The 24,717-nt window shown below is 40.3% G+C and overlaps 1 protein-coding gene and 1 long non-coding RNA gene across 8 annotated transcripts; one reads left to right on the top strand and one right to left on the bottom strand.

The window, feature by feature from the left end:
- On the top strand, positions 242-24,717 carry FCRL3 (Fc receptor like 3). Of its 7 annotated transcripts, none has more exons than NR_135216.2 (16): positions 429-536; positions 613-739; positions 1,486-1,506; positions 2,569-2,814; positions 3,279-3,539; positions 3,869-4,058; positions 4,871-5,158; positions 5,591-5,869; positions 10,665-10,943; positions 11,281-11,400; positions 17,954-17,981; positions 20,099-20,217; positions 20,428-20,496; positions 22,225-22,256; positions 22,342-22,603; positions 24,430-24,717. NR_135216.2 is itself a non-coding variant. In NM_001320333.2 (16 exons), exons 2-16 carry the CDS (start codon positions 709-711, stop codon positions 24,484-24,486), a joined length of 2,229 nt encoding a protein of 742 aa, NP_001307262.1. In that variant the 5' UTR covers positions 429-536; positions 613-708; the 3' UTR covers positions 24,487-24,717. The 7 variants fall into 7 exon arrangements, 3 of the variants coding, with proteins under 3 accessions (XP_006711208.1, NP_001307262.1, NP_443171.2); NR_135215.2 differs by having other exon boundaries at positions 3,774-4,058; NR_135214.2 differs by having other exon boundaries at positions 3,774-4,058; positions 5,573-5,869.
- Positions 4,554-5,769, bottom strand: FCRL3-AS1 (FCRL3 antisense RNA 1). Its single transcript, NR_199044.1, has 2 exons — positions 5,616-5,769; positions 4,554-5,233 (listed from the first exon to the last, which is right to left on the bottom strand). It is a non-coding gene; the product is annotated as an FCRL3 antisense RNA 1 (long non-coding RNA).

Below are 24,717 nucleotides of genomic sequence, written 5' to 3'. Positions count from 1 at the left end.
AAATTGTTATAAACACTGTGAAAAAAACACAAAGGACCTGAAACAAAATAATGGGGTGGAACCTCTTTGATTGCAAAGCCCTTTCTGAGAAGGGCTTTGGCTTTAAAAACGGTGGTACGCTTGCTGATTTATCTCCTAATTTGCAGATCTGGGTGAGATTACGGGAAGTCCTTGATCTGTACATTTGTATTATTTTCCTGTTCAGAAGCCTCATAACAACTTATGTGAAAGTCAAAAAGGCATATGCTTGACACCTTGACTGTGTGATTCACACCACGCTCATTAAGCTTGCCTACATTAGGAGCTGCATGCAGAACCAAAGGCTGTGTGAAGACAAGGTAGTGAAGGGGTTTCCCATATGAAAAATACAGAAAGAATTATTTGAATACTAGCAAATACACAACTTGATATTTCTAGAGAACCCAGGCACAGTCTTGGAGACATTACTCCTGAGAGACTGCAGCTGATGGAAGATGAGCCCCAACTTCTAAAAATGTATCACTACCGGGATTGAGATACAAACAGCATTTAGGAAGGTAGCCACATTCACATTTTCAGAGCCCAAAGCAAAATATGACACTAAGCTCTTCTTCCCTTTTCTGATTCTTGCAGGTCTCATCTGAGTAGCAGCTTCCTGCCCTCCTTCTTGGAGATAAGTCGGGCTTTTGGTGAGACAGACTTTCCCAACCCTCTGCCCGGCCGGTGCCCATGCTTCTGTGGCTGCTGCTGCTGATCCTGAGTGAGTAGATGGGCTATAATGGGGCCACGGCCTCAGTTCCTAAAGGTGACCAGGGAAAAACTCAAGGAGCTTCTATCTCTGCTTCTACTTGGGGTTCAGAGACAGATAGCAAGGGATGGGAAGTGAGCAGAGCTGGGTTCCCTGGACAACCAAGAGGCTCCAAATGCAACCATCAGAGCAAGCCAGATATCCTGACCTTGGTTTCTCACCCACTGCTTTTCTCACCTCATAGGAAACTTGGATTTTTCCTTCTGCCAAACCACAACTCTATATCCCACCCTCCCTCTTAAGCCTCAGACTAAATAATTTTTCAGATGAGCAGTTACTTCTAAAAACCTAGGCACGTGAAGGAAGGTTTACTGAGAAACATCACTGTTTTCTAGAAGTTTTAAGCCAAAATTTAATCAGAGATTGAAAAAGTGAGGGGAACAATAGGAGCCCAAGGAACGAAAGGAGGATAAACCATTTCTGTAAGTCCTTGTCTGCCTCTGCACTCAGAGAAGAGAAGGAGAGAATAAAGTGTGCCGTGGCCAAGTAAATAATAGCAGAGATGAGGTCAGGCCTTGGACATAAGCCATCACGTTTGTAAAATACATTATATGACATTTTCTTTGTTGTTTAGGGGCTCTGGATGATATAAAAAGGGAGCAAAGAAATGATAAGGAAAAACAAAAGAAGTGGTTGTGGTTAGGTTGTTAGAAAATGTTTCGGAGAGTGTCTGATTGTCATTTTCTGCTCCCTCACAGCTCCTGGAAGAGAACAATCAGGTAAGTTTCTCCTTCTCTCTGCCCCTCTGGTCTCTGGATATTGGTCCCCTCAGCCCACACAGCCTGCCCTAACCCTTGCAGGCACGCATCCCATCAGCAATGCTAATGCTCTGGGGTCACATCTGCTACTATATTGGGTGAACAGAGCCTCCTCCGACTTTTTCAGTCTCTAGGTTTTTTTTTTTTTTTCTCCCTACATTACCGGTATTCCTCAGACTACAGGAAGGAAACACTTGCAGAGCAAAGGACAGAGGCAAGAGGCTGATGATGAAGGAATCTCATATGTGATCTCCATATTCTCTAGTACATCTCCCTCTGAATGTCCAAGCTAGTGCTGCTATCAAAGGACATAGAAATAGATCCCATCCACGGAGGAAGATGCTACAGCAGAATCCTTATAAATCTCCAAAAAGAGCTCATGCCACTGCCACACCTCACTTCCATGCCTGTCAGTCAGTTGCAATTCCATACACAAGTCTGACTTCTCAGGCAACCCATCCTCCTCCATTTAAATTCTTTATATCCCTCCATTGTTTACTGTGTCCAACTTAAATGGAGAGTAAAGTTGCCTTCCCCATAGACTTTCAAAGCTAAGAGAGATATAAAAGTAATACAAGTGAGAAAATCTTATTCATTTTAAGTGTTAACAAGTAGGAAGTAATTTTCTGGAGTCTAGAAACTACTTCTGAGGTATATACATCCCAGGTTCACCTTTATCTGGACAGAAATGTATAGGACAAGAGAATTTCAGGATCAGCCACATTCTGAGGCCTTCGCAGTTTTTGCCCAATGGCAAATCACATCTCCTGAGCTTTTCTGAGGCTATGCCAGGAAACTGAGACCTCTCCCCTATAATACCCTTCTGCCCACCTCCAGGAAATGGATGAGGAAGAACAGATTCTTTCCCAGGCATTTCCCTAGGTTATTTCTGCTCAATTTTCCACCCTGGTCCTGACTGGAAATTAGTCCAGGAAAACTCCTGACTGTAGGTTGGGCTCCCCATGTGCTGTGCCCACCTCCCATTGACCTTCCCCTGCCTTCATCTTTCTATTTCCTGTTTAGGGGTGGCCCCAAAAGCTGTACTTCTCCTCAATCCTCCATGGTCCACAGCCTTCAAAGGAGAAAAAGTGGCTCTCATATGCAGCAGCATATCACATTCCCTAGCCCAGGGAGACACATATTGGTATCACGATGAGAAGTTGTTGAAAATAAAACATGACAAGATCCAAATTACAGAGCCTGGAAATTACCAATGTAAGACCCGAGGATCCTCCCTCAGTGATGCCGTGCATGTGGAATTTTCACCTGGTGAGGAATGGAAGGGGAGTGTCTAAAGTCAAGCCACCAGGCAGAATGCCTGAGGGCCGGGTTAATGCAGGGATCCTAGGCAGAGTTGTAAGCAGACATGGGGATTGATGCACTGACCCCAGTGGGGAAAATAAAGAGATAGGGCAGCAGCATGATGCTGGATTGTCTATCCATCTACCTCCAAAGAATTGTGGGTGACCCAGGGGCCATCAGGCAAAAAGGGGTTCAAGTCTGGGATTCCTCTTTTGTGAAAAGACATGTGAAGATTTCTCAAGAACATTTTCTGGGAATTGGTTCACCCTTGTAGGGCAAGGAAGAATCAGGTATTTGGGGCCACATGGCAATGTGGGTGGGGGCCATTTGCAGGTGTGTATAGAACTGTGGCTCTTGCCTCATGGGTGGAAATGAAAGTGAAGGCAGAAACAGCAGGGGATAACCTGAGTGTGCTCCTGTGCTCTTTGCAGACTGGCTGATCCTGCAGGCTTTACATCCTGTCTTTGAAGGAGACAATGTCATTCTGAGATGTCAGGGGAAAGACAACAAAAACACTCATCAAAAGGTTTACTACAAGGATGGAAAACAGCTTCCTAATAGTTATAATTTAGAGAAGATCACAGTGAATTCAGTCTCCAGGGATAATAGCAAATATCATTGTACTGCTTATAGGAAGTTTTACATACTTGACATTGAAGTAACTTCAAAACCCCTAAATATCCAAGTTCAAGGTAATGGCTAGATTCCTGTGGATTACTGGGTTTGTTAGGGAAACTGGGGATAAAGGGAAGATGTTTATCAGTGGGAATTTCATAAAGAGTCTCCTATGGCTCAGCCATGGGAGGGAGATGGTTCCTTCTGCATGCTTCTCTATCTCCTGATGGCTGGTGCTGAGATGACAAATGCATCTCTCTAGGAACTCTGAGCCTCACCACCCTGGAGACTATGTTGTTTCTTTTCATTAGAGCTGTTTCTACATCCTGTGCTGAGAGCCAGCTCTTCCACGCCCATAGAGGGGAGTCCCATGACCCTGACCTGTGAGACCCAGCTCTCTCCACAGAGGCCAGATGTCCAGCTGCAATTCTCCCTCTTCAGAGATAGCCAGACCCTCGGATTGGGCTGGAGCAGGTCCCCCAGACTCCAGATCCCTGCCATGTGGACTGAAGACTCAGGGTCTTACTGGTGTGAGGTGGAGACAGTGACTCACAGCATCAAAAAAAGGAGCCTGAGATCTCAGATACGTGTACAGAGTGAGTGTCTAAGGGGCTGCTCTTCCAGAGTCAGAGCTGGGGAGAGGAAGGCCAGTGATATCTCCTGCACCCCTAGGATGGTGGACATAACAGAGAGGAGTGTCCAGCTATTCTGGTAATCTTCTCTCTTTAAGCTCAACGTTGGTCTAACAGCCCTAGAACATTTTCTTCCACTTGAGTCAGGTAATAGTAATTATTGATCAGTTACTGATTGCCCAACCCTATGGGGTTACAGAGATGTACAAGATCGGTTCTCTCATGAATCAAGAGACAACTAGAAGCACAACTGAACACATGCAGTTTTAAGAGGCCCCTGTGGTGCTTCCATTTGGTAACCTGAACTCACAACAAAATAGTCCGAAAAGGGGAAGATGAATATGAACTGTAATAGTCAGAGAAAGACATGGAGACATGGATGTAAATCTGGAGAAGTCTTGAAGAATAGGAGAAGGGTTTGGATTCTATTTTGATCTTCAAAACAGAGGATCTCCAGTGTTCTCTTTTATTTTGTGGTTTATTGATGCATCAAAGATTCCTTAGAGATAAATGCATATAAAATGTGACCAGAAAACATTGGATTTATGGAGATTATGGACTTGGTGCCCACATTTCTCAAGGATGGGAATGTTGTGGGAGTGAGAGGGATGTTGCTTCCTTTATAATCGTATACACAATTAATTTCTTATTTCCTACTTTGGGCTTCTGCCTGCTGCACCTGCTGCTATTGGCCTATTCATGGTAGCTCCAGCCTTCCCCTTGACCTTGATGTCCCTGCCATCAGGACCTTCACATGCCATCTTGTGTTCCCCCAGGAGTCCCTGTGTCTAATGTGAATCTAGAGATCCGGCCCACCGGAGGGCAGCTGATTGAAGGAGAAAATATGGTCCTTATTTGCTCAGTAGCCCAGGGTTCAGGGACTGTCACATTCTCCTGGCACAAAGAAGGAAGAGTAAGAAGCCTGGGTAGAAAGACCCAGCGTTCCCTGTTGGCAGAGCTGCATGTTCTCACCGTGAAGGAGAGTGATGCAGGGAGATACTACTGTGCAGCTGATAACGTTCACAGCCCCATCCTCAGCACGTGGATTCGAGTCACCGTGAGAAGTAAGTTCCGATTCCTTTCACACAGCCTCGAGTTGCAAGCCAGGGTTTAGGTTCTCTGTCAGCCACTAAGGTCTCCTAAAAGAGGCACGGGGAGGGAGGGAGGGGAGGGGGGTGGGGACAGAGAGAGAGAGAGGGGGAGAGAGAGAGAGAGAGATATTTAAAAGCTATCCAAGAAATGGAAAGATGGCAAAATAAGTTGAAGCACCTTACTTCTTGCGGGGAAGACTGAGTGGTGATGAAAACAAAACTACCCAAGATTACCTCTCACTGTTTTGGGGAAATGCTTCTGATTGTTAGATAAGAAAAATGTGATCAGTGGGGAAACAGAAACAATCAAGGGACAAGGGACATATCCATTGCTAGGCTCCTTGAGAGAGGTTGTGCATCTGTCACAACGTCAGAATCCTCTGACAGCCCTTTTGTCTCCTTCAGTTCCGGTATCTCACCCTGTCCTCACCTTCAGGGCTCCCAGGGCCCACACTGTGGTGGGGGACCTGCTGGAGCTTCACTGTGAGTCCCTGAGAGGCTCTCCCCCGATCCTGTACCGATTTTATCATGAGGATGTCACCCTGGGGAACAGCTCAGCCCCCTCTGGAGGAGGAGCCTCCTTCAACCTCTCTCTGACTGCAGAACATTCTGGAAACTACTCCTGTGATGCAGACAATGGCCTGGGGGCCCAGCACAGTCATGGAGTGAGTCTCAGGGTCACAGGTAAGCAAGATATACCCACAGCAGTTAACAGCCAATACAACAGATCATGTCTTCTCAGAAATAGCTCCACTGGGCTATTTGCTGGTTGATATCCCAATAGACTTCCCACTCTTTCTGACTCCACCTGGGAGTTCTGGGATTCTTCCTAGTGATTACACATTTAGTAACTTAGACCATTCCTTTTTTTAATTCCTCTGTAATTATCATCAACAGCCATCCATATACCCCATTCATTTTTTTTTCTGGTAGAGGCACGAAGGCTTACCAGAATACCAAACACGTGATGGGTCAGCAATTACTGACAAAGGAAAATGGCACAGAAAGCCTTTATTTCTGAATTCCTTTGCCCAGGAAAAAAATGACTGGATCATCCCTTGCCACAGTTTTCTGCCCCTATCTCAATCTAAATTCCCACTTGGCTCCCTGGATCATTAAAGTGTCTCTCTTCATGGATACCCACTTCTGTGGGTTCTCTGTCAGCCACTAGGATCACAGCAGCAGGCCTCTTTCATGGCCTCCAGATTCTAGTGACCTATCTAACCTTCTCACTTTTTTCAAATGCCTTCTGATTGGGTCTCATTTAATCTGATGTTCTCAGTATCCCCTAACAAAATTTTCCTTCAGCAGAGGCACCAGGGCATCTCGTATTTCCCATGTCCAGCCCCTAAGAACAATTAGCAATGTGCCCAATCATTTAGAAGAGAACCTCCAGTCCAAGTCATGGTTATCCCAAAGGGCTCAGCATTTGGAGGATGGGAGAGGGCACTGGGACCTAGGAGAAGATGGCAAAATAAGAGAGATATGGTAATAATTCCCAGTCACACAAACCCATACATTCTCTGGATTTTGCCATGGACTCTTGTTCTCCAATGATTCCAGACTATTAGAACACTTATGACATTTTGGTTAATAATAATCCTTCCTATAGGCCAAACTTGGGTAATGATTTAAGGAGGTATTAAAATCTGGGAATGCCAGACAGTGTGCTGAAACAGAGACTCGAGTCTTGAACAAGAAAATATCATTTGTTTAACCTTGAATAAGTCTTCTTACTAGTCTTGTGCTTATTTTCCTCCCTTATAAAGTAATTGAGTCAGCAAATCATGGGGGTATAAGAATTCTGGATCTCGCACCACTCTCCATCAAAAGTATTTAACACATACCCCACATATATGTATATTAATAACATATATTTGTGTGTTAATTATATACATGTACTACTGTATTAACTTAATGGGCACATTACAAAACAAACAGAAAAAATAGAAATTAAATAAGGGGCCGGGTGCAGTGGCTCATGCCTGTAATCCTAGCATTTTGGGAGGCCGAGGTGGGCAAATCACTTGAGCTTAGGAGTTTGAGACCAGCGTGGGCAATATGGAGAAACCCCTGTCTCTACAAAAAAATACAAAATTCAGTTGGGCATGGTGGCATGCGCCTGTACTCTCAGATACTTGGGAGGCTGAGGTGGGAGGACCACTTGAACCCAAGAGGTTGAGACTGCAGTGAGCCAAGATTGCACAACTGCACTCCAGCCTGGGCAACAGAGTGATACCATGTCAACGAAAGGAAGAAAGAAAGAAAGAGAGAGAGAGAGAGAGAAAGGAAGGAAGGAAGGGAGGAAGGAAGGAAGGAAGGAAGGAGAGAAAGAAAATGAAATAAACAATATTTTAAAATCTTTGATTTAGAATATTTGACTAAAATTATTATAATTGAATATGCTTCATTTACTTTGAAAATCTTAGTTTACTTATGGTGGTACAATTATTTGAGGTTTGGTTCTGAGTTTGGCCTTATTCCTATTAGTTTTAGTGTCTGTTACTGCTTAAAGCTTTATCTTACCAATATATCTACATCCAAGTGGAAGCAGATCATCACTGCTGCTCTTTCAATTCCATGATACTCATTTTTCAATCCCATAGTCTAACTATGCAAGGGTTTTCATTGAAATTTGGTTAATAAGTTTATGTTTTTGTTGATGTTCATTAGTTGTTCTTGTAAAGTAAGTAGGAAGTGCTGCATGTTGAATTTCCTTTTTTTTTTTTTTTTTTTTTGAGATGGAGTCTTACTCTGTTGCCCTGGCTGGAGTGCAGTTGCACTATCTCAGCTCACTGCAACCTCCACCTCCCAGGTTCAAGCGATTCTTCTGCCTCAGCCTCTCCAGTAGCTAGGATTACAGAGGCAGGCTACCACGCCCTGCAAATTTTGTATTTTTAGTAGAGACGGGTTTTCGTCATGTTGCCCAGGCTGGTCTCGAACTTCTGAGCTCAGGGAATCTACCCGCGACAGCCTCCCAAAGTGCTAGAATTACAGGCATGAGCCACCACGCCCAGCCACTGCATGTTGAATTTCTATCGAACATGTTTAAACTTTGGTTGCCATGTTCTGTTTCCATGGATTTTTAAAGGTGCAGATATAAATTTTTAAAGTTGACATACTTACATTTTCTGGTAATAAGACGACATAGAAATGTAAATATTTTTAAACAACTATTTTCCAAAATATTATCTCCATAGCATAAGTTTAGAAAAGCATTAGCAATATGAAATACTGTTAAAAGTCACTTTTTAAAGTGTTTGCTAAGTATTAACATTGTCAGTAGCCACTGATCACCAAAAAGTCAACAAAAATTAAATACTAATCTTTCTTCATGGAAAAACACGTAACGTATCTTTACATTTAATTCCTCTTTTTAGAACTTTGCCACAAAATAAGTGAACTTTCATGTGATACAAAAAGGTTTGAGGTCACTCCCCAATCTCATTACAAAGCATTGTAAATCTTTTATGATTTGGCCAGGCACAGTGGCTCATGCCTGTAATCCCAGCACTTTGGGAGGCCAAGGAAGGATTGCTTGAGCCCAAGAGTTTAGACCAGCCTGGGCAACATGGGGAAACCCTGTCTTTACTAAAAATACAAAAGAATAGCAAGGCGTGGTGGCATGATCCGGTAATCCCAGCTACTCTGGAGGCTGAAGAAGCAGGATCACTTGAGCCCAGGAGGTCAAGGCTTCAGTGAGTCATGATTGCACCACTGTACTCCAGGCTGGGCAACAGAGTGAGACCCTGTCTCAAAAAAACAAAAAAAGAATACAGAAATTAAATTAAAAAATAAAAAATATATTTTATGATTTAAATTAAAATAATCTGTAAAAACACTTAAGTAGCCAATTAAAAGGGCATTATGTTCCATATGCTGAGAGTTAACTAACAAGCCAAGGCACTGCTGTCCCACCCTCCGTGCCTGGGTGGCCCTGCCTTCATAAAAAACGCTGTCCTATCCCAATACACAGTGTGACATCTACCTGAGCAAGAGCACCACCATGAATATTAGTAAAGCTGAATATCTTTTTAAATTTCAAGCTCAAAAAGAAATACTCTTAAATGTTCTCATATTTTCTTCTTACACTTCAATCTGGTGTCTTATAGCCCATCTTGGAGACCACTTAAGTTGACAATAACCATGGTCTTTTTCAGTCTTCAAGTTCTTTGATTTTAGGGGAATATGCATTCAGAACCAGAGGTCCCATGAGCCCTAGAGGAGGGGATGCAAGAGGTTGGAAATCTCTCTTTCCAGAATACGAACACCCAGAGACATGAGTGAAAGGCACAGTGAGATCACAAAGCACCATACAAAAGACTCACCCCTGAGGCCCTCTGCATCCCGCCCAGGTCACTTCATATTTAGAGGCTATACAGAAGGGACAAATTCAAACCATCTGTTTCAATTTAGCAGGAACTCTACACTTCCAATATCAGGACTTGGCACCTCTATCCTGATGAGGCAGCTGGTGCTATCTTTCTTGCAGCCAGCAGATGGCTCATTTTCAAGTTTAATCATTGCCATTCAGTGAATAGTTTCCACATTCACACTCATTCCCTTTAGCCCATCTGCGATGGAAAGCAGAGCTTAAGATCCTTATCAAGTTACCCTTGCCAATAAAGCACACGGCTTATATCTAAAGCACTACACACAGATTGGTTCATCCAGTTTTCCTCACAACTTTGCAGAACCAGCAATCTTACAGTTAACATTCGATATTAAGGGCTTTCTATTCTTCCCACTATGCCATTTCTTTAATTGTTCATTAAAATAGAAATCATTGTTGCTAGAGCTATATCTGGATTTTTTTTGACAGTTTGGTTCACTTCAGTTTTCCATTCAATCATCAATTATTGAGCATAAATTTTATATGCCAGGCAAAGTTCCAACAGCTATAAATACAGCAACGAACAAACAGATAATTCTCCATCCTATTGGGGAATCATATAAAACAATGATGATAGATAGATACATACATACATACATACATACATACATACATACATAGACAGATGTCAGGTAGTGCTAAATGCTATGTAGAAAAATAAAGCAAGGTGATTAGGTAGAGAGTAATGGGTCCTGCCTTTAGATAGGTATGGAAGTCTCAGTCTTAGAGCTAAGATTCAGGTGTAGGAATTTTAGAAACCTTGATTTTAGCTATATTTTTATCAATAATAATAACCAATTTTTATAGTACTTTACATGCAATATGATTTTTATTACAATAGCTTGAGATATAATGTATCATTAACTCAGTTTTACAGAGGAATAAACTAAGACTTAGAGAAATTAAAAAGTTCTTAAAAAATCAAGCTTATAGAGCTAATAAAGGATAGAGACAGGATTGAAGCCCAGGTTCTCCAGAATCCAGGTGCATGTTCCCGCAACTCAACTATGCTGCATATTCCTTTATTAAGTTCTCTTGTATACCTACTTAAGTAAAACTGCCAGTGAACTATTTTTCCTCCCTCAGTTCCGGTGTCTCGCCCCGTCCTCACCCTCAGGGCTCCCGGGGCCCAGGCTGTGGTGGGGGACCTGCTGGAGCTTCACTGTGAGTCCCTGAGAGGCTCCTTCCCGATCCTGTACTGGTTTTATCACGAGGATGACACCTTGGGGAACATCTCGGCCCACTCTGGAGGAGGGGCATCCTTCAACCTCTCTCTGACTACAGAACATTCTGGAAACTACTCATGTGAGGCTGACAATGGCCTGGGGGCCCAGCACAGTAAAGTGGTGACACTCAATGTTACAGGTGTGTTAATAGTACCTGGGCTAGAGGTCACAGTTATGGTAAATAAAATAGTTATCTGACAGATTGTACAAATTCTACTAGCACCAAGGAGGTTTTGAACATGCACACGAAGGCTTGGGACTTCTGGAGATTGGTACTGATTTTATATGGGAGAGGGAAAGGAAATACATTTTAATCTTAGATGCTGGAGAATACCTTTCATATGCCATAGTTTTGAAAATTACAAATGATGCTACAGGAGGAATCAGAAACTGGAACACACTCACCCTACTTGCATGATTTTGTCTGTATCCAAAACCTGTGCCACTGAAACTCAAGTACAGCTCCCTCCACTCAGGAACTTCCAGGAACAGAACAGGCCTTACCGCTGCGGGAATCACGGGGCTGGTGCTCAGCATCCTCGTCCTTGCTGCTGCTGCTGCTCTGCTGCATTACGCCAGGGCCCGAAGGAAACCAGGTGGGTGTCTAGGTCCTACCTTGTGATGTGATTTTGCCGTTGCTATAATAATTTGAAGTTGTCTGGTGCACCCTATAAAGGTCAAGTATTCCCTTCCAAGTACTAGGCCCTCAGTTCCACTACTCACTGTCACTCTGTAGGCAATTGTAGCAAAAACAATAGAATAAACTTCTCAATAAAATTTTTACCTCATGTGTTTAATTTGAGATTTATATTAGGTAGCAGAGTTTTGCTTCCAATTAAAAATTAGAAAATTAATTAACTCATGTTCTATCTCCCTAAGAAAGTCCTTCATTTGTAACAAAAAATAAATAAATCATCATAGAGGTGACCATAAACTCCGAGATATATTTGAATGCCAGCTAAATGTAGTGAAATTGGATAAAATAAATAAAGAATGCCAAAAATGAGATTAAAAATTCAATTTCCGATTGTTGCTAGTGTATAGAAACACAACTAATTTTAATATTAATTTTATATCCTGAAATCTTGCTAGACTGACTTATTAGTTCAGTATCTCTTTTGCAGATTTCATCAGATGTTCTATATAGATGATCATGTTGTCTGCAAAGAAAGATAGTTTAACTCTTTCCTTTCCAATATTAATTTCTTTTACTTCTTGTTCTTGCTTAATTGCACTGGTTAGAACCTCCTGTACAATGCTGAGTGCAAGTGGTGAGAGAAAATATTCTTATCACATTCCAGATCTTAGGGGGAAAGTATTCAATCTCTCCCCATTACAGATTACTTTAGCCATGGGTTTTTTTCAATGCTGTTTATCTGGTGGAGGAAGTCCCTCCTATTCCTAATTTGCTGAGAGATTTTACACAAATAAATTTTTGTAAAATGATTTTTCTACATTTATTGAGATAGTAATGAGATTTTTTTTAGTCTATTGATAAGGTGAATTTTGAATGTCGAAGTAGCCTTATATTTCTGGGGTCAACCCAACTTGGTCATGACTGTTGATTTGATTTGCTAAAATTTTGCAAAGGATGTTTACGTCCATGTTTATGAGGAAAATTTGTTGTTAGCTTTCATTTCTAGAAATGTCTTTTTATGATTTGGTCTCAAAGGAATACTTACTCAGTTACCACTTCCAGAATTTTTCATTCCTTTTTATATAGCCATATTTTCACCTGGTATCAATTTTGTTCTGCCTGAAGGACCTTTTTTTTTTTTTTAACATTTCTTACAGTATGACTGCCTGCCAGTGAATTTGATTGATAATGTTTCTCAATTCCTCTATATCCTTACTGATTTTTTGTCTACCTGATCTATCAATTACTGAGATAGGGGAATTAAAATCTTTAACTGTAATTGTGAATTTATCCATTTCTTCTGCAATTCTATCAAGTTTTGCTTCCAGAATTTGGAATTGCTCATTATTAGGTGGATAAGTGTTAAGAATTTTCATGTTTTTGATGAATTATCCACTTTATCCTTATGAAATGACCCTCTGTATCCCTGGTTGAATCACTTACTGTGAAACAGTCTTTGTCTAATATTAATATGTTAATATAATTAGTGTTAGCATGTGATTTTTTTCCATCCTTTTGCTTTTAGCCTATTTGTACCCCTATATTTAAAGTTAATTTTTAATAGATAGCATGCAGCTAATTCTTGCCGGTTTTGTTTAGTTTAATATTGTAGTCTGCCTTTAAAATGAGGTGTTTAGACCATTTGCACTAGTGTAATTATTGATATGATTAGGTTTCATGTCTATTTTGCTATTTGCTTTCTATTTGTCACATCTATTTTTTGCTTTACTTTGACTTATTTTTGGAATAATTGATTTTTTAATTCTATTTTACTTCCTTTGTTAGTATAATAGCCATAACTTTTTAAAAATTTTCAACTTTTATTTTAGATGTAAGGGGTAAATGTGTGGATTGGTTACATGGTTATATTGCATGATATTGAGATTTGGGGTACAGATCCTGTCACCCAGATAGTAAGCATAGTACCCAATAGGTAGTTTTTCAACTCACACATTCCTCCCCATCTCCCCCATCTAGTAGTCCACAGTGTCTGTTGTTCCCATGTTTATGTCCATGTTTGCTCAATGTTTAGGTCCCACTTATAAGTGAGAACATGTGGTATTTGGTTTTCTGTTCTTGTGTTAGTTGGTTTATGATTATGGCCTCCAGTTAAATCTATGTTGCTGCAAAAGACATGATTTCATTTTTTTATGTCTGCGTAGTATTCCATGGTGTATATGTACCACATTTTCTTTATCCAGTCTACCACTGGTGGGCACCTAGATTGATACCATATCTTTGCTATTGTGAATAGTATGGCAATGAACATATGAGTGCATGTGTCTTTTTGACAGAATGATTTATTTTTTTGTGAGCGTATACCAATAACAGAATTACTAGGTTGAATGGTAGCTCTATTATAAGTTCTTTGAGAAATCTCCAAACCCCTTTCCACAGTGGTTAAACTAACTTAAATTCCCACCAACAGTGTATAAGCATTCCCTTTTCTCCTCAGCCTCACCAGCACCTATTGTTTTCTGACTTTTAAGTAATAGCCATTCTGACTGGTGTGAGATAGTATCTGATGGTGGTTTTGATTTCCATTTCTCTGGAGATTAGTGATGTTGAGCATTTTTTTATGTTTGTTGGCTGCTTGCTTGACTTCTTTTGAGAAGTGGCTGTTCATGTCCTTCACTTATATTTTAATGGGGTTATTTGGTTTTTGCTTGTTGATTTGTTTAAGTTCCTTACAGGTCTCAACATTAGACTTCTGTCAGATGCATAGTTTCCTAATATTTTCTCCCATTCTATAGGTTGCCTGTTTACTCTGTTGATAATTTCTTTTGCCGTGCAGAAGCTCTTTAGTTTAATTAAGTCACACTTGTCAATTTTTGTTTTTGTTGCAATTGCTTTGGGAACTTAGCCAAAAATTCTTGGCCAAAGCTGATGTCAAGGATTGTATTTCCTAGGTTTTCCTCTAGGAATTTTATAGTTTGGAGTCCTACATTTAAATCTTTGATCCATCCTGAATTAAGTTTTGTATATGGTGAAAAGTAGGGGTCTAGTTTCAGTTTTCTGAATATGGCTAGCAAGTTATCCCAGCACCATTTATTGAATAGACAGTCATTTCCCCATTGCTTCTTTTTGTTAGCCTTGGCAAAGATCAGATGGTTGTAGGTGTGAATCTTTATTTCTGAGTTTTCTATTCCATTCCGTTGGTCTATGTGTCTGTTTTTGTATCAGTACTATACTATTTTGATTACTGTAGGCTTATAGTATAGTTTGAAGTTGTGAGGTGTGATGCCTTCAGCTTTGCTGTCTTTGCTTAGGAATGCTTTGGCTATTTGGGCTCTTTTTTGGTTCCATATGAATTTTAAAATAGATTTTTCTAATTCTGTGAAGAATGATATTGGTAATTTGATAGGAATAATATTGAATCTGTAAATTTCTTTGGGCAGTATGGCCATTTTAACAATATTAATTCTTCCAATCTATGAGCATGCAATATTTTTCCATTTATTTGTGTTGTCTTTATTTCAGCATTTTTTTTTTTAATTTCTCGCAGAGATCTTTCACCTCCTTTGTTAGCTGTATTCCTAGGTATTTCATTTTCTTTGTGGCTATTCAAAATGGAATTGTACCATTGATTTAACTCTTTGCCTGACTTTGTTGATGTATAGAAATGCTACTGGTTTTTGTACCTTAATTTTGTGTCCTGAAACCTTACTCTTGGCAGAGTCTTGAGGGCTTTCAAGTTAGAGAGTCATGCAGTCAGTGAAAAGAGAAAGTGTGACTTATTTAGCTATTTGGGTGCTTTTTATTTCTTTCTCTTGCCTGGTTGCTCTGGCTAGGAATTTCAGGACTATCTTGAATAGGCGTAGTGATAGTGGACATGCATAGTTGTGTCCCTTTTTCATTAATTAAAAAAAATTTTTTTATTTATGCATTAATTTTTATCTTTACCCAGGAGTTATTCAGGAGTAAGTTGTCTAATTTCCATGTATTTGTTAGTTTTGAGAGATCTTCTTGATATTTATTTCTATTTTTATTGCACTGTAGTCTAAGAGTGTACTTGGTATGATTTTTTAAAAAAATTTATTGATATCTGCTTTATGGCCCAGCATATGGCTGATCCTAGGATATGTTCCACATGCAGGTGAGAAGAATGTATATTCCATAGTTGCCGGATAGAATATTCTGTAGATGTGTGTTAGGTCTATTTGGTCAAGTGTCAAGTTTCTTTGTCAGTTTTCTGACAAAGTCCAGAGTTTCTTTGTCAGTTTTCTGCCTCGATGATCTGTCTAACTCTGTCAGTGGGATATTGAAATCTCCCACTATTATTGTGTGACTGTCCAGGTTTTTTTGTAGATCAAGAGGAACTTGTTTTATGATTCTGGGTGCTGCAATGTTGGGTGCATATATATTTAGAATAGTTAAGTTTTCTTGTTGGAAGCAATAATTATTTGTTTTGTTACTCTGGTGATTGCTTTAGGGCTTATAGTATACATCTTCAACTTATTGCTGTTTTCAAGTGAAATTATATTACTTATAGAAGGCTAGTCACACCTCCTACTTCCAAAATTACTTTTCTTTTTTTCCTCTCATTGTTTATCTGGGATGCCATTTTCTAATCTATAACATACTAAAAGAAGACATTTGAATCTCAGTGTTGAGGTTGTCAGTCAGCACAGCACCAGGAGAGAAAACTGACAATCATTTCACATGATCCATGTGAACAGAAGCCCAGGTGGTCTGTCCCCCAGACTTAGGGGAAGTGTTATTTTAAATAACAAACTCACTAAGGAATTAGGACAGTTCACCAAGCAGAGGGTCTGTGCTCTTCTTTTCTCAAAATCTTGCTTATTGTACCTCCTCATAGCAAAGTCTCCCTTCTCACCATTGACAAGACTTCTCAGGAAGAAGCTCAGACCTTCTACATTTTTCTAAAAGTTAAGGGCTCTGCTCCTTGCCTGAGTGAATCACTCCTAAAAGGAATGATAGGTTTTTTGACTCTATAGTAAATCTGGCTGTGTTGAAATTCCAGTAACAAAACTTGCCAACTTGATATTGGGCAAATAAGTTAAACTCACTAAACTCAGTTTCTTCATCTATGAAGTGGTTATAATAATAACAGTATCTACCTTTTAGGTACTATGACACAACCTAGGTAAACTGCTTAGCACCGTGCTGGCCCATATGTCTTCAAGGAATATTAGCTTGTATAATAAATAGCCACCTGTCTAGGTCTCAGTTTTCTCTTTTACAGATAAGGAGATAGACTGACTCCCAGATGCATTCTAGGTCGGAGCTAACCACCCACAGAAAAGATACTGGTTATTGACTGATGTGGATTGTGATTGCTCTGAGGAGATTCAGGACCAGATCCTGATCATACCCCTCTAGCTTAACTCAGGAGTCCCACTCCCTGAGGAACAGGGAGTTACTCAGTTATTTTTCATGAGAGTCAAGGCTGGTATGTTTATTTTGAGCAACGACTTGCATTCTCTAAGCCAATGAGACCGATTAGAGCCACAGATTTTAAAAAGGCAAAGGACAAGGATGGGAACCTGGATAAGGCTTGTATTGGGGCAAGCCTGAAAGATTCAATATTTCGGTGATGACGGAAACTTGCCATATTTTTAAGTCTGATAGATTTGGCTTCAAGGATAGACTTCTAACAGGCAATCTCCTTTTAGAAAATTGTCAATTTGTTATTTTTAAGTCCTCAAAGTAAATACTTTGTTCAGTTGTTTAACACATCTTTGTTGAATATTTTTAACTGCTAAGCATGATATTAGGAATACAAAAAAATTTAAGATGAGGTTTACAGCCTCAAGTAGCACACCCTTTCATGAAAGAGAGAAATAGAGGCAAATAGAAATAAATAATTACGAAACAATATAGTAATTTTAATATTACATGGTCTTATGTGCATGGAGACAGTTTACTTAATCCAGCCTGTTGGCATCAGGGACAGCTCTGGAAGAAAGATAAATCGGAGCTAGCCAAGTGAAAGAGAAGGAGAGAAGAGGTGTGGAAAAGCCATTACATACCCACATGATTTGCAGTTCAGTGTTGCTGGAATAGACTTGCAGGGGTGAGGGGTCACAGTTAGAGAAAGAGAAGGTAGAGCTTATCATGGTAGTCCCATTGATTCATATTAGTGAAGGAATTCTGTATCCATTTTGAGCATCCCTTGGCCCCTCTAGGCCTCAGTCTCCTTGTCTCCACTTTGTAGGGCTGCAGTCAGGATGAAGAAGTGGGTTTGAGGGGAGCACCTGACCCAGGTTGTGACCTACTCAGTCACAACTACTTAGAGTTGCTATTCACCTATTACTGATTGAAAAATGATTCAGAATGAGTGTGACTCTGGGCAAATGCCTTTCAAGACCCCACCTTCCTGACCTATAACATAACATAGGGGGAGTAAGGAGGGTGGAGCTGGATAATCCTTGAGTTTTTCCGTAGCTTAGATCTAGAATGAATCTGATTTCTAGGAAAAAATGTTCTAACAGAGAGTTCATTATTTACACAGCTCACTTACCACCAACCTTCCTTTGTTTGTTTTGCAGGAGGACTTTCTGCCACTGGAACATCTAGGTGAGGTCTCTGCTTCTTGTGCTGCCAACATTTTCATGATTTATTTATATGCACGAGACTTGTTTATGTTTTTTTTTAAATTTCAATGGATTTCCTAGTAGCATTTTTACGTTCTTACAAAATAAAAAAGTAGATATAAGTGAATGTCACTTTCACTTATATTTGTGAACGATATTCACTGTCTCTACTTAAACACAATACATGTTATTGGCTATCTATGTTAATTTATCTACTTCCTTAAATGTGTTCCAGCAGAGACTTGACCACTAATGTCTTAATGGCATTACCTTTCATAGGGCTACAGTGCATTCATTTCCTTCTTCCTCATTCTTCCACTCATTTGGGAAATTATTATTGAATGCTGGCAATGTTCAATTCACAATATTAACTGCAGAAGGAAATGAAATTGGAAAAAAATCCACTTTACTTGAAGAGCTCGCATGGCATCTTGCAGGAAAGGTAGATTATTGTAATATGAGGTGTAAAACTGAAAGGGACCTTTTAAAAAAGACAAGGTTTAAGTTCTGTAAGAATGCAGAGGTCTTTGTGTATCAGTGTTTAATCATTTACATCTTCAAAAATAACATTTAAAATTAGTCAAATATGAGTTTTTGCCTTTCAAAGAGGCCCTGAGGCTGCTGGCCCTCTGGCCTTGCCTTGGCTGTCCTGTTTTGTAATGCTTCCCTGGGCTTCACCTTGTGCCATAAGTCTTCTGATACTTTATTAATAAATGGTGCTGGGAAAACTGGCTAACCATATGTAGAAAGCTGAAACTGGATCCCTTCCTTACACCTTATACAAAAATTAATTCAAGATGGATTAAAGACTTAAATGTTAGACCTAAAACCATAAAAACCCTAGAAGAAAACCTAGGCAATACCATTCAGGACATAGGCATGGGCAAGGACTTCGTGTCTAAAACACCAAAAGCAATGGCAACAAAAGCCAAAATTGACAAATGGGATCTAATTAAACTAAAGAGCTTCTGCACAGCAAAAGAAATTACCATCAGAGTGAACAGGCAACCCACAAAATGGGAGAAAATTTTCGCAACCTACTCATCTGACAAACGGCTAATATCCGGAATCTACGATGAACTCAAACAAATTTACAAGAAAAAAACAAACAACCCCATCAAAAAGTGGGCAAAGGATATGAACAGACACTTCTCAAAAGAAGACATTTATGCAGCCAAAAAACACATGAAAAAATGCTCATCATCACTGGCCATCAGAGAAATGCAAATCAAAACCACAATGAGATACCATCTCACACCAGTTAGAATGGCGATCATTAAAAAGTCAGGAAACAACAGGTGCTGGAGAAGATGTGGAGAAATAGGAACACTTTTACACTGTTGGTGGGACTGTAAACTAGTTCAACCATTGTGGAAGTCAGTGTGGCGATTCCTCAGGGATCTAGAAGTAGAAATACCATTTGACCCAGCCATCCCATTACTGAGTATATACCCAAAGGATTATAAATCATCCTGCTATAAAGACACATGCATACATATGTTTATTGTGGCACTATTCACAATAGCAAAGACTTGGAACCAACCCAAATGTCCAACAACAATAGACTGGATTAAGAAAATGTGGCACATATACACCATGGAATACTATGCAGCTGTAAAAAATGATGAGTTCATGTCCTTTGTAGGAACATGGATGAAACTGGAAACCATCATTCTCAGCAAACTATCGCAAGAACAAAAAACCAAACACCGCATGTTCTCACTCATAGGTGGGAATTGAATAATGAGAACACATGGACACAGGAAGGGGAACATCACACTCTGGGGACTGTTTTGGGGTGGGGGGAGGGGAGAGGGATAGCATTAGGAGATATACCTAATTCTAAATGACGAGTTAATGGGTGCAGGACACCAGCATGGCACATATATACATATGTAACAAACCTGCACATTGTGCAGATGTACCCTAAAACTTAAAGTATAATAATAATAAAATTAAAAAAAAAGACCCAAGCAGAAGCAGACACAATATTTTTACTTGAATCATGCTGGACTGGAGGACTTCCAGAATATTGATTTCCCTGAAATTCTGTGTAACCCACAGATACTTTTTAATCCATTCTCTCCCCCTCTGTCACAGTCACAGTCCTAGTGAGTGTCAGGAGCCTTCCTCGTCCAGGCCTTCCAGGATAGACCCTCAAGAGCCCACTCACTCTAAACCACTAGCCCCAATGGAGCTGGAGCCAATGTACAGCAATGGTGAGGACTCCCTAGGGGGCAGAAGGCTCTAGGGAGGAGCCAGGGAGGGAAGAGGGATTGAGCGACAGCCCATGGCCCTGTCACAAATTTAAAAATGACATTCCTAGCATTACACTGGGAATAGAAGTTGGTTATGAATTTGGTGATTGGGAAGTAGAGTCTAGAATATGAGCTCTTGACTGCAACCAACTATGATATCTTCTCTCACAGTAAATCCTGGAGATAGCAACCCGATTTATTCCCAGATCTGGAGCATCCAGCATACAAAAGAAAACTCAGGTAAGATGCCTTTCAGGCAAATAGAGGTGAGGTGGCAGTGTTTTATTGAAACGGGCAAGGGGTCTTTGATCAGAGTTATTTCAAATACAAGCCCAACACGCAAGGCATTACTTGCCTCCCATAGTGTCAGCTGTAGAATCTATCCATTTCTTCTTACCTTTACATACTGCCACCATGATCCCATAAATTCTTTGAGGACAGACACTGTGACTTTTTCACTAATGTATTCACAGCATTTAGCTCAATGCTTGGAAAACTGTAGGCCCCCTAAAATATTGTTTGAATTAATGAGTGAATAATCAAATGTGGAGACAATTGTCATTCTTTTAACTGGTCTCTTTATTTCTACTACTGTTCTCCTCCAGCCTTCCCAAAATCTATTTCCAGCATGATCCCTTTGAGGTGCTCTATTGTTCACATCAGTGCCTAGATTAACTGCCCTCAATGACACCCATTCCAAAGCATGATCTTTGCCTTCTGCACGCTGGCTCCTCCTGCAAGCTTTGCCTAATGTTCTTCCTCTAGCCATACTGAACTCTTGGCACCTTTATGCTTGGTGCTCATGTTTCTTACTGGTCTTGAAATGTCCTTTCCTCTAGTCTACTTGGTGACCCCTACTCATATTTCAAGACATAGATCAGGTAACAGTGAAACTCACACTGATGCCAACTACCCTTTCCATATTCTAATCTGGGAGGAGACATTTATTCTTTATGGTAACAACATAGTTCAATATGTATTTCTGTCTTGGTGCCCATAATGCTTGTTGCATTTATTTCTATGTCCATTTCTCCCCTTCAAAATTATAGGATTCTTGATCACATGAACTGAGTTTCTGTCATTTTTTTTTTTTTTTTTTTTTTTTTTTTTTGTGAGATGGGGTCTCGTTCTGTCGCCCAGGCTGGAGTGCAGCAGTGCGATCTTGGCTCATTTCAACTTCTGCCTCCTGGGTTCAAGGGATTCTCCTGCCTTAGCTTCCTAAGTAGCCGGGATTACAGGCATGCATCACCATGCCCAGCTAAATTTTGTATTTTTAGTAGAGACAGGGTTTCACTATGTTGTCCAGGAGTTTCTGTCATTTCTATCTCCTTATACCTTACCTAATGCCTAATAGAAGGCATTGCTTATTGGCTGCACAAATAAATAAAAGAGATACAAACAGCCCCTTGGAAAGGTAGAAAACATACACACACACTAAATTTTCTCAATGCTCCAATGCAACTCTTTGGCTTCCTGGGAAATTGTCATGTGGCCTTAGAATGCCAATCTCCTCTCTGGTCTCTTCCAATTTCCCTGTGCAAGTGAAGTGACTCATATCTGCCTCCTTCTCCCAGAGGATCAATACAGCCATAGAAGTCTGCAGTGGATTGGGGGTGGGTGCCCCTCTGGGGTTATAATGAGCAGAGGAGCAAGAAGGAAATTGTCATGAAAATAGTTCTGGGCATTTGGTGGGCAGAGGAAAGTCTTTATTAGTGTTTGTGCTTGGGGCAGTACTTTTTCTATTTGGGTTTGGAAGAATCCAACAGAGGAAACAGTCAAGAGATCAAGCAAATCAAGAAGATTGGCTTGGAGTACTTTTTCTATGTGGGTTTGGAAGAATCCAGCAGAGGAAACAGCAAGAGATCAAGCAAATCAAGAAGATTGGTTTGGAATGCAGTGTGCGTACGTTGTAAGTTGGAATATATTGCCCACAGTTTAATACTTTTCTTTGCTACTCCTACCCAACAGCTAATTGTCCAATGATGCATCAAGAGCATGAGGTGAGTCACATTTCTTGGCTTTCTTTCCTCTCTGGCCTTCCTCTCCTGTATTTAGGTACTTACCTTTTGTGTTTTTTTCTACCAGGAACTTACAGTCCTCTATTCAGAACTGAAGAAGACACACCCAGACGACTCTGCAGGGGAGGCTAGCAGCAGAGGCAGGGCCCATGAAGAAGATGATGAAGAAAACTATGAGAATGTACCACGTGTATTACTGGCCTCAGACCACTAGCCCCTTACCCAGAGTGGCCCACAGGAAACAGCCTGCACCATTTTTTTTTCTGTTCTCTCCAACCACACATCATCCATCTCTCCAGACTCTGCCTCCTACGAGGCTGGGCTGCAGGGTATGTGAGGCTGAGCAAAAGGTCTGCAAATCTCCCCTGTGCCTGATCTGTGTGTTCCCCAGGAAGAGAGCAGGCAGCCTCTGAGCAAGCACTGTGTTATTTTCACAGTGGAGACACGTGGCAAGGCAGGAGGGCCCTCAGCTCCTAGGGCTGTCGAATAGAGGAGGAGAGAGAAATGGTCTAGCCAGGGTTACAAGGGCACAATCATGACCATTTGATCCAAGTGTGATCGAAAGCTGTTAATGTGCTCTCTGTATAAACAATTTGCTCCAAATATTTTGTTTCCCTTTTTTGTGTGGCTGGTAGTGGCATTGCTGATGTTTTGGTGTATATGCTGTATCCTTGCTACCATATTGGGAACAGCCAAAAGAAGTTATAGAACAAGAATTTAAGGTGACTCTATCTGAAGTGTATTTTTGTACTTACAGGGTGACATTCCCAACCAAATTACCCTAGTTATGATGAAAAATAACTTCAGCATTTCATTAAAGACTCTGCTAGTTTAATATGTGACTTGTATCCCCACTGCAAAGACCTTATGTGTGAAGAATCACATTAATTGTAATTTTTGCTTCATGACATAGTCTCATCATTTGCCATACATGATAGATTTCTAGTCAGTCAGTTTTATTCTTATAAGCACCCATTAACCCCGAGACAATAACCTACTATATCTATGTGGCTTCTCCCATTCTCTTCCTCTACCTCACTCCATCTGATAAAAAACCATTCTAAATCTCATGTTCATTATTCCCATGCTCTCCTATTTCTATCATATTAATGTATCTACATGTTTTCCTTAAATATGTTTTTATATTAGTTTTAACTATAAGTTAAAGACCATATTGTTGTAGATAATTTTTTTTAGTACTTTCTCTTCATGTTGTATTTCTAAGATTCATCCATATTGTTGCGTGTTGCTATAGTTCATTTGTTTTTATTGCTGTTTAGTATTTACTTGTGTAAAATATCTGGCTTAATGTTTTCCTAGCTATCACCATCAAAAACTCTTTCCACAGTGTGTTGAATTTTTAATATGACAAAAATGAAAATGTACCAACAATTTTCAGTGACTTCACCTCCATTCTGAAATCCTGATGTTTCCAAATATCTCTGAACACCTCAAGTCCTAGGGACAACTGAGATTATATTAACATTAATCTCTGAATGTTGCCAATTCTAGGCCTTCACTTGGTTCATGTAGGAACACCAAGTCCCTTTCAAAGCACCACATCTTCCTCTAATCAATATTTCTTGGAGTCCCTAGGGAATGTCTTACATGCATTCAAACAATCACCATTTCTGGAGATACACTACAGGGTCACCATAAACTCTGCTACCCTTAGGTTCCATCACTATGGAAGCTGAGTTTCACCAGAAGGCACTTTTGTCCTCCATTACGACCAGCAAAGCCAGCTAAGCCACAGCTGCTGGCCTCAAAAAATGTGATGATCAATCCACACTGCTCCCACTGGCCTCTGTTACCCTTATCCTGGCCTTTGAGTGCAGGGCATGATGTCCTGCCCGTACTGAGATGCTGATCTCTGCCAGTTCATGTTCATATTGGCATTAAAATTTTAAGGTCCCTTGAAGAGGGAGGAGGCAAATGTCTCTGTCTTCTATGTGATACATTCTGCTGTTTTTTTCTCTATGGTGAAAATATGTAAACCGGTTTTGGGTACCAACCACCAGGCTGTATATGGAGGCTCTCCTCCTTTCTAACCCTGCTGCTGATTTGGAATTACCTTGCCAAGCCCCTTTGTGCCTTATAGTGAACTTTCTCTAAGGGACCTGTCATCTCTTATCATTGTTTATCCATTTTCTAGATTCTGAACCCAAGAAAGAACAAAGTTCAAGATTTTCCATGTCTTTGTAACACTTAGCCCTGTGCAAATCAGAGTATGTGAGTGGAAGAAGGGGTGAGTCCTAACTGTACATCTCGGATATAACAAATGTGCAAATTCTGATTGATTGCCCTGTAAAATGAATTATTCTCATGCAGTGCTCTACTTGACTTTTATCTTTGAATTCACAACTAAAAACCCATAGCCCAGAAATCTAAAAAAAGTAATTTTAGTGGAGCCTTTGAAAATAAAAGACCATTGGAAAAAGTA

The sequence above is a fragment of the Homo sapiens genome, chromosome 1 (genome assembly GCF_000001405.40).
Source record: "Homo sapiens chromosome 1, GRCh38.p14 Primary Assembly".
NCBI classification, from domain to species: domain Eukaryota; kingdom Metazoa; phylum Chordata; class Mammalia; order Primates; family Hominidae; genus Homo; species Homo sapiens.
The sequence above is the reverse complement of the archived record's forward strand: the minus strand, read 5'-3'. Positions and strand labels throughout refer to the sequence as shown.

Bases quoted from the DNA above. Each gene is read 5' to 3' on its own strand.
- FCRL3 (NM_001320333.2), top strand. From the start codon at position 709: ATGCTTCTGTGGCTGCTGCTGCTGATCCTGA. The intron at 3,540-3,773 runs GTAATGGCTAGA...TCTTTTCATTAG, and splicing joins CCTAAATATCCAAGTTCAAG to AGCTGTTTCTACATCCTGTG. The intron at 22,257-22,341 runs GTGAGTCACATT...TTTTTCTACCAG, and splicing joins TGATGCATCAAGAGCATGAG to GAACTTACAGTCCTCTATTC.